Genomic DNA, 10619 nt, shown 5'->3' on the forward strand with positions numbered 1-10619 from the left:
GGAAGGAGAAATAAAATCCTTTACAGACAAGCAAATGTTGAGAGATTTTGTCACCACCAGGCCTGCCTTAAAAGAGATCCTGAAGGAAGCACTAAACATGGAAAGGAAAAACTGGTACTAGACAAGGCAAAAACATACCAAATTGTAAAGACTGTCTACACTGTGAAGAAACTGCATCAACAGGCAAAATAACCAGCTAGCATCATAATGACAGGATCAAATTCACACATAACAATATTAACCTTAAATATAAACAAGATAAATTCCCCAATTAAAAGACATAGACTGGCAAATTGGATAAAGAGTCAAGACCCATTAGTGTGCTGTATTCAGGAGACTCATCTCATGTGCCAAGACACATATAGGCACAAAATAAAGGGATGAAGTAATATTTAACAAGCAAATGGGAAAAAAAATCAGGGGTTGCAATCATAGTCTCTGATAAAAAGAGACTTTAAAACAACAAGATAAAAAAGACAAAGAAGGGCATTACATAATGATAAAGGGATCAATGCAACAAGAAGAACTAACTATCCTAAATATATATGCACCCAATAGAGGAGCATTCACATTCATAAAGCAAGTTCTTACAGGCATACAAAGAGACTTAGACTCCCAAACAATAATAGTGGGAGACTTTAACACCCCACTGTAAATATTAGACAGATCAATGAGACAGAGTATTAACAAGGATATTCAGGATTTGACCTCAGCTCTGGAACAAGCTGACCTAATAGTCCTTTACAGAGCTCTCCACCCTGAATCAACAGAATATACGTTGTTCTCAGCACCACATCACATTTATTCTAAAATTGACCACATAATTGGAAGTAAAACACTCCTCAGCATACACAAAAGAATGGAAATCATAACAGTCTCTCAGACCACAGTGCAATCAAATTAGATCTCAGGATTAAGAAACTCACTCAAAACCACACAACTACATGGAAACTGAACAACCTGCTCCTGAATGACTACTGGGTAAATAACCAAATGAAGGCACAAATAAATAAGTTATTTGAAACCAATGAGAACAAAGGCACAACATACCAGAATATCTGGGACGTAGCTACAGTGTGTTTAGAGGGAAATTTATAGCACTAAATGCCCACAGGAAAAAGTGGGAAAGATCTTAAATCCACACCCTACCATCACAATTTAAACAACTAGAGAAGCAAGAGTACACGAATTCAAAAGCTAGCAGAAGACAAGAAATAACTAAGATCAGAGCAGAACTGAACGAGACAGAGATGCGAAAAACCCTTCAAAAAATCAATGAATCCAGGAGCTGGTTTTTTGAAAGTATTAACAAAATAGATAGACTGCTAGCCAGACTAATAAAGAAGAAAAGTGAGAAGAATCAAATAGACACAATAAAAAAATGATAAAAGGGATATCAGCATTGATCCCACAGAAATACAAACTACCATTAGAGAATACTATAAACACCTCTATGCAAATAAACTAGAAAATCCAGAACAAATGGATAAATTCCCGGACGCATAGACCCTCCCAAGACTAAACCAAGAAGTCAAATCTCAAAATAGACCAATAACAAGCTCTGAAATTGAGGCAGTAATTAATAGCCTACCAACCAAAAAAAGCCCAGGACCAGACAGATTCACAGCTGAAATCTACAAGAGGTACAAAGAGGAGCTGGTACCATTTCTTCTGAAACTATTCCAAACAATAGAAAAAGAGGGACTCCTCCCTAACTCATTTTATGCGGCCAGCATCATCCTGATACCAAAACCTGGCAGAGACACAACAAAAAAGGTAAATTTCAGGCCAATATCCCTGATGAACATCGATGTGAAAATCCTCAATAAAATACTGGCAAACCGAATCCAGCAGCACATCAAAAAGCTAATCCACCATGATCAAGTTGGCTTCATCCCTGGGATGCAAGGATGGTTCAACATACACAAATCAAAAAATGTAATCCATCCCATAAACAGAACCAATGGCAACAGCCACGTGATTATCTCAATAGGTGTGGAAAAGGCCTTTGATAATATTCAATACCACTTCATCCTAAAAACTCTTAATAAAATAGGTATTGATGGGATGTATCTCAAAATAATAAGAGCTATTTGTGACAAACCCACAGTCAATATCATACTGAATGGGCAAAAGCTAGAAGCATTCCCTTTGAAAACTGGCACAAGACAAGATTGCCCTCTCTTACCACTCCTATTCAACATAGTATTGGAAGTTCTGACCAGGGCAATCAGGCAAGAGAAAGAAATAAAGGGTATTCAATAGGAAGAGAGGAAGTCGGTGCACTCACCTTTGCTCATATGTAAGGACAGACCCTTCTATAGAAGTACCTTACCTTGCTGAGAATCAAAAAGAAAATGTTATATCCAAGTGCAATTTCTTTTGTGGCACCACAACTTTATATATAACAATTTGGGGGCTCACCCATGATTACATTCCCCTCCAGGGATGGTCTCTGGTTCTCTCTTGTGAGGAGGCGCACCCTGCTCCCTTGTGGCGGCCTCAGAAGTGAGAAATCTGAGCCCACCCAGTGCAAGGAATAACCCAAACTCTCAGCAACACGAAAAAAAAAATGGCCAGCAACCTAGCTTAAAGGATCCTCACACACTTGGTGACAACTCTGTGCACAGATCAAGGAAGGAGAAGCCACGGGAGCTGGTAAAGTATTTCCTTGGTGGTCGGGACCAGGTAAGAAAGCCATGGGGGTGTTCAGTGAAGTACTCCTTGGTTGGGGTGGCTTAAAGGTTAGAAAGAGGTGAGACATCCCCATTCGGGGGGATTGAACCTCACACACTACTTCCAGTAGTAGAAAAGGCAAGAAATTTCCAGTGGGGAAATTGAGCCTCAACACAAAAGGCAAGAAATTTCCAGTGGGGGATATTGAGCCTCACCCCATAAGGCAAGAAATTTCCATTGAGGAAATTGAGCCTCACCCCAAAAGGCTTTACCCCTAAAGGCAAGAAATTTCCAGTGGGGAAATTGAGCCTCACCCCAAAAGGTGAGAAATTTCCAGTAAGGGAAATTGAAACTTGAACCTTACCCCAAAACCATCAAGATGGGAAATACCCCGAGCAAGACAGGGAGCAAGGGGGATAAAGATGGTAACAAAGATATCCCCCCGGATAGCCCCCTAGGTCTCATGCTAAAACACTGGAAGGATAATGAAAGGACGAAACATAGGAAAAAGCAACAAATGATAAAATATTGCTGTTTTATTTGGACTCAGGGACCCATCCTCAAACCCTCAATCTTCTGGCCAAAGTTTGGGTCGAATGCGGATGTAATGTGTCAGCTTCTAATCCGATATGTTAATGATAAAACTCTAGTGTCTCAAGAAGAACTAGGCTATGCCCTTTGTTGGAGGCAAGGACCTGCCCTCCTTTTTCCCTTAAAAACAAATACGGAAGAACCCAATCTGGCACCTCAAAATGAAAAGTCAGAGGAGCCAGCTCTCATGCCTAAAGATTTCAGCACATGGGATCCCCTAGACTATCTTCCCCTGTTCAGTGTCCCCAACCTTTCCCCACAGACAGCCACGGCCACCTCAGATCCTGTTCCAAATTCCCCCTCTACTCATAGCCTTATAACCCTGACTCTTGGGAATTACCATCCCATTAACCTGTTCCCTCCCAACCTAAATACTCCTCTCTAAAAGGACTCCAGTGTGAGGTAGAACAATGTAAAAAAGATATTCAGAATTTCCCATTTCCCTCCATACCTAAGAGGTCAGCCCCGACCCTCTTCCCTTTGAAAGAGGTACCACAAGGAGGGGGGCCATTCGCTTTGTAAATGCTCCCCTAACCAGTTCAGAAGTCCAGGATTTTAAAAAGGAGCTTAAACCACTACTAGATGACCCTTACAGAGTAGCAGACCAATTCTTAGGACCTCAGTTATACACTTGGGTCGAGTTAATGTCCATCTTGGGCATCCTCTTTTCAGGGAAGAAAGAGTAGCTCCACTCCCACTGGTCCCTCCCCTAGGGTAAGGGGAAGGGGAAGGGAGAACAGCAGCATAAGCAGCTGGCAGAGGCAGGGAAAGAACAGCAGAGAGAGAAAAAGAGAGAGAGAGGAAGAGAAAGAGAGGCAAAGAGGGAGTCAAAGAGAGAGAGAGAAAGAGACAAAGTCAAAGAGAGAAAGAGAAAGAGAAAGATAGAAGTAGTAAAGAGAAAATAGTGTACCCTATTCCTTTAAAAGCCAGGGTAAATTTAAAACCTATAATTGATAATTGAAGGTCTTCTCCATGACCCCATAACACTACAAAACCACCTTGTTGTCAGTATAAACAAGGGTGTAGCCTGAAAGCACTGAGGCCGCTGACAACCCATAGCCTTTCTAATCAAAAATCCTTAACGCAATAACCTGCGGATGGCCCACATGCATTCAATCTGTAGCGGCAACCGGTTTGCTAACAGAAGAAAGTAGAAAAATAACTTTTAGAGGAAACCTCATTGTGAGCACACCTCATAAGGTCAGAACTATCCTAAGTCCAAAATAAATAAATAAATGAATAAATAAATAAATAAATAAATAAATAAATAAAAATGTAGCTTACTAACTCAAAAATCTTAAAGTATGGGGCTATTCTGTTAGAAAAAGATTATTTGACATTAACCACTGATAATTCCCTTAACCCGGCAGGTTTCCTAACATGGGATCTAAATCTTAATTAATTACCATACAAAGGTCTGACCAGACCTAGGAGGAACTCCCTTCAGGGACAGGATGATACACAATGGGTATTCAGTAATTGATAGGGAAACTCTTGTAAATGCAGAGTTAGGGAAATTGCCTAATAATTGGTCTGCTCAACTGTGAGAGCTGTTTGCACTCAGCCAAGCCTTAAAGTACCTACAGAACCAGGCAGGAACCGTCTATACCAATTATAAGTTAATTTGGACTAAACAAGGTCTTATTAAAAGCAAAGAATAATTGAAATCCCAAATTTATAAGGTTTCCAACAAAAGTAATTTGCTAAAAGTTAACAGTGTAACATGTATCATCCTAACTTCTGATCTTGTGGCCTTAGACAGTCTAGTCCACAGACATGAAGAAAGTTTGCTTTGGAAAAGAATGGTTATTATCTTTGAGAAAAAAAAAAGTCGGGGGAGAATGTATGTAAAAAGGAATGTTATGTGGTAAATTCTTGTCCTAAAATAAATTAACTGGCTGTTTAAAGAAAGGGATGTTTGCAACAAGTCAGAAAGTTGAGGCATGTGGAAGAATTGTCTGTAAAAGTCGTGGGAAAAAAAAGTTATAAAAGGGAATTTATGCAAGAAATGTTGTATAATTTAAAAGTAATTAGGCCTCCTGATTGTAAAACTATTGAAGAAACAGTTTATGTGCAAGGTGTATAAGGAAAGTAAAATATACCTTTGGTAAAAGGATTATAAGGAGGCATAAGAATGTGGATTTTTACCTACATTAAAAGGTTAAAAACATATATATTTTGTTTTAAAGGTTTAAGCAAGTTTTGAAATGTTAATTGCAAAGGAAATTCTGTGTGTAAACATATTGGCTAAAGTTAAAGGGGTATCATCCAGTTTTTCTGTGAAATGGATATTAAAATACAAGCACAACAGGTTTTTCTTAAAGCACTAACCTACTCTTTAACAAAAATTATAAAAGGTTAAAAAGAGTCTATAAAAATCTTACCTATGGTCAGACATTAAAAGTTGAATAAATATGCCTACAAAGTTTTATTAAAATTAAGTTTAACATTAATAACACCAATATAAAGGTGAAATTTAGATTATCTGGTATAAAAATCATACAGGAAGCATTGTCAAATATAAAATGGTGTTTGGCTTTCTTTGGTCTAAAAGCTAATAAAAATAGGTGCTAAAGGAAATTTCTCAGTAAGAAGGCACCAAGGACTACAAAGTCCACTGCTGATGTCCCCACATTTAAAACAAAGATAAATTTTTTAGAAATTATATACTTGGTTTATCTTCCACTTTAGTTTCCCTCAAAACTAAAAGTCTTTTATCACAGGTACCACCCCTAGAATTTCTAGTAAACCAGCACCAGCCTGAGGATCACGTTCTCATCAAAGGGTGGAAAGAAGGAAAACTCCAGCCAGCCTGGGAAGGACCCTACCTTGTGCTGCTAACCACCGAGACTGCTGTTCATACAGCAGAAAAGGGATGGACTCATCACACCTGAGTCAAGTAAGTGCCGCCCCCTCCAGAGTAGTGGGCCAAGGTCCCAGGGAAAGAACCCTACCAAACTAAAGCTAAGAAAAATTTAACTCTTTAATCTATCCTATTACTCTTTCTTCTTTCCTCACTCTATTGCTGACCATCTAATTATTGACATAACCAAGTCAATTTTGCCTCAAACTATTGCATTTAATGCTTGCCTTGTTATACCCCATGGGGACTTGTCAAGTCAAAAAGAGCTCTCTACTTCAGAAAAGTACCTCTGTCCCTCCTGACTCTCCTCAGACTAGGCATTAATTAATTGGGACCATTTAATCCGGGGAGATTTCGATAAAGACCCCAGTGACAACCAGGAAGTCTTGCTCCCCGATGTAGAGCTTTTATGCCATAGTTAGTCCAACATTCTGTGGACCACTAAAGAGCAAGGATGGACTACCCCAACAAGTTTTTGTAATTTCCTAAAACCATACATTAATTTTACTAGAGGGACAGCCCTCCCCTCTAATTGTCAGCTAAACCAGTATAATTCTATACAGGTTATTATCTCAAACCCTCAAAGTTCTTCCCCTTTTCTAAGCCAGTTCCCTTCTTTAAGCCGGTTTTATGGTATAGGGGCTGAGGTTTCAGGGACAAACCCTATTAGATTATTTGAAATGCATTTCTTTGATCCCCCACCACCTGCACCTTCCTCTAAGTCTTCTTCCAAAACCTCTCACACTGGAACCATTGCTCCTCCTCCATCTAACGACAAGACAAAGATAGCTATCATAAAAGTTGAAGACTTAAACTTTGGCAATTAAGACAGGATACCAAGATGCAAATGCCTGGTTGGAATGGATCAAATATTCTGTCTGCACATTAAACAAAAGCAATTATTATGCTTGTGCGCATAGCAGGCCAGAGGCCCAGATTGTCCCCTTTCCACTAGGGTGGTCCTCCAGTCTACCAGGCATGGGCTGCATGGTAACTGTTTTGCAGGATTCTACAGCCTGGGGTAACAAGTCATGCCAAGCTCTCTCTCTGCCATGTCCCGAAGTCCAACACCCTGCGGGTCAGCCCCCGAGGGCCCTCCAGCTTCCACCTCCCAAAACTAAGTTCACTTCATGTCTCTCACTGCAGGGAAGAAACTTAGTGTTCCTTGGAGACCTGAAGGAATGCAGTGAGCTTAAGAACTTTCAAGAGCTTACCAATCAGGCAGCCCTTGTTCATCCCCAAATGGATGTGTGATGGTATTGTGATGGACCTTTACTGGACACTCTGCCAAATAACTGGAGTGGCACTTGTGCTTTAGTACAATTGGCTATCCCTTTCACCAAGGAATTTCATCAACCAGAGGAAGGAAAAATAAGACATCGTAAAGCAAGAGAAGCCCCTTATGGGTCTTGACTCTCACGTCTATTTAGACACACTTAGAGTCCCACAGGGAATACCAGATCAATTTAAAGCCTGAAATCAAATAGCTGCAGGATTTGAACCAATATTTTGGTAGGTGACAATTAATAAAAATGTAGATTGGATAAACTACATTTACCACAACCAACAGCGATTTATTTACTACACTAGAGATGCTGTTAAAGGAACAGCTAAACAATTAGGGGCCACTAGACAGACGGCTGGGGAAAATAGGATAGCCCTAGACATGATATTAACAGAAACAGGAGGAGTTTGTGTCATGATTAAAACTCAATGTTGCACCTTCATCCCAAACAACACCACCCCTAATGGAAATATAACAAAGGCATTGCAAGGTCTGACTGCCCTGTCCAATGAGTTAGCCAGCAACTCAGGGGTAAATAACCCCTTTACAGGATGGCTAAAAAAGTGGTTTGGTAAATGGAAAGGAATAATAGCCTCAATTCTTACTTCCCTCACAGATATAATGTGTGTACTTATTCTTGTTGGGTGCTGCGTCATACCATGCATCCGTGGGTTAATGCAGAGGCTCATAAAAACAGCACTTACTAAAACCTCCTTTAACTATCCTTCACCTTATCCAGAGAAGCTTCTTCTTTTGAAAAATCAAGCAAAACAACTAAGCCAAGACATGTTTTAAAAAAAAGTTTGAAAAGAAAGCTGTAAGGAAATATAAGGGGAGGGGTTGTTAGATATGAGTTCTAAATTTCTTTTCCAAGAATCAATATGTCAGTATGTTCAATTCTTTATCTTCTACTTTTAAACTTAACTTCCTCATAAAGCAACTTTTTTCATTTTAAACTTAACTTCCTGATAAAGCAACTTTTTTCAATTACCTGCTTCACCCTGATTCATTTCAATCACCTGCTCCACCCTGACTCATTCTGATTACCTGCTCCACCTTGACTCATTTCAATCACCTGCTCCACCCTGACTCATTCTGATTACCTACTCCACCATGACTCATTCTGATTACCTACTCCACCCTGACTCATTCTGATTACCTGCTCTGTCATAACCATTTTCCCCACAAAACCACTCACCCCGTCACTCTTTAAATTAGCCAGTCAGAATTAGTTTAGCCTGTGTGGCCTAACCCTAGCCAATAGGGGAATGACACAGCAGCAGGGGCCACGTGCATCAGGGATAAGAACCCCTTCCCCTCCCTTGTTCAAGTGTGCACTCACCATTGCTCCATCTGTAAGGGTGCACCCTTCTATAGAAGTACCTTGCCTTGCTGAGAATAAAAAAGAAAATTTTTTGAAGAGAGGAAGTCAAATTGTCTCTTTGCAGATAACATGATTGTGTATTTACAAAACCCCATCGTCTCAGCCCCAAATCTCCTTAAGCTGATAAGCAACTTCAGCAAAGTCTCAGGATACAAAATCAATGTGCAAAAATCACAAGCATTCCTATACACCAATAATAGAGAGCCAAATCATGAGTGAACTCCCATTTGCAATTGCTACAAAGATAATTAAATACCTAGGAATAAAACTTACAAGGGATGAGAAGGACCTCTTCAAGGAGAACTACAAAACACTGCTCAAGGAAATAAGAGAAGACACAAACAAATGGAAAAACATTCCATACTCATGGATAGGAAGAATCAATATCATGAAAATGGCCATAATGCCGAAAGTAATTTATAGATTCACTGCTATCCCCATTAAGCTGCCACTGACTTTCTTCACAGAATTAGAATAAACTACTTTAAATTTCATACAGAACAAAAAAAGAGCCCACATAGCCAAGACAATTCTAAGCAAAAAGAACAAAGCTGGAGGCATCATGCTACCTGACTTCAAACTATAATACAAGGCTACAGTAACCAAAACGGCATGGTACTGGTACCAAAACAGATATATAGACCAATGGAACAGAACAGAGGCCTCAGAAATAACACCACACATCTACGACTATGACCATCTGATCTTTGACAAACCTGACAAAAACAAGCAATGGAGAAAGGATTCCCTATTTAATAAATGGTGTTGGGAAAACTGGCTAGCCATATGCAGAAAACTGAAACTGGACCCCTTCCTTACACCTTATACAAAAAGTAACTCACGATGGATTAAAGAATTAAATGCAAGACCTAAAACCATAAAAACACTAGAAGAAAACCTAGGCAATACCATTCAAGACAAAAGCATGGTCAAAGACTTCATGAGTAAAACACCAAAAGCAATGTCAATGAAAGGCAAAATTAAAGAGCTTCTGCACAGCAAAAGAAACTATAATCAGAGTGAACAGGCAACCTACAGAATGGGAGAAATTTTTTGCAATCTATCCATCTGACAAAGGGCTAATATCCAGAATCTACAAGGAACTTAAACAAATTTACAAGAACTAAACAAACCACCCAATCAAAAAGTCAGTGAAGAATATGAACAGATCCTTCTCAAAATAAGACATTTATGCAGTCAACAAACATGAAAAAAAGCTCATCATCACTGGTCAGTAGAGAAATGCAAATCAAAACTACAATGAGATACCATCTCACACCAGTTTGAACGGCAATCATTGAAAAGTCAGGAAACAACAGATGCTGGAGAGGATGTGGAGAATAGGAACACTTTTACATTGTTTGTGGGAGTGTAAATTAGTTCAACCATTGTGGAAAACAGTGTGGCAATTCTTCAAGGATCTAGAACCAGAAATATCATTTGACCCAGCAATCCCTTTACTGGGTATACACCCAAAGGATTATAAATCATTCTATTGTAAAGACACATGCATACGTACGTTTATTGCAGCACTATTCACAATAGCAAAGACTTAGAATCACCCAAATGTCCATCAGTGACAGGCTGGATAAAGAAAATGTGGCACATATACACCATGGGATACTATGTAGCCATAAAAAGGATGAGTTCATGTCCTTCGCAGGGACATGGATGAAGCTGAAAACCATCATTCTCAGCAAACTAACACAGGAACAGAAAACCAAACACTGCATGTTCTCACTCATAAGTAGGAGTTGAACAATGAGAACATCGACACAAGAAGGGGAACATCACACACTGGGGCCTGTCAGGGGGTGGGG

At 39.6% G+C, this 10619-nt stretch overlaps 1 annotated feature.

Annotated features, from left to right (window-relative positions):
• Window positions 7991–9190: an enhancer, noted in NCBI's record as "P300/CBP strongly-dependent group 1 enhancer chr4:108340321-108341520 (GRCh37/hg19 assembly coordinates)". NCBI's record gives its function as "activates an origin of replication core promoter dependent on BRD2, BRD4, P300/CBP, MED14 and CDK7 cofactors, with strong dependence on P300/CBP, by STARR-seq in HCT116 cells {active_cell/tissue: HCT116}" and the evidence as "EXISTENCE:reporter gene assay evidence [ECO:0000049][PMID:35650434]".

This window comes from Homo sapiens, chromosome 4 (assembly GCF_000001405.40).
Source record: "Homo sapiens chromosome 4, GRCh38.p14 Primary Assembly".
Classification (NCBI taxonomy): Eukaryota; Metazoa; Chordata; class Mammalia; order Primates; family Hominidae; genus Homo; species Homo sapiens.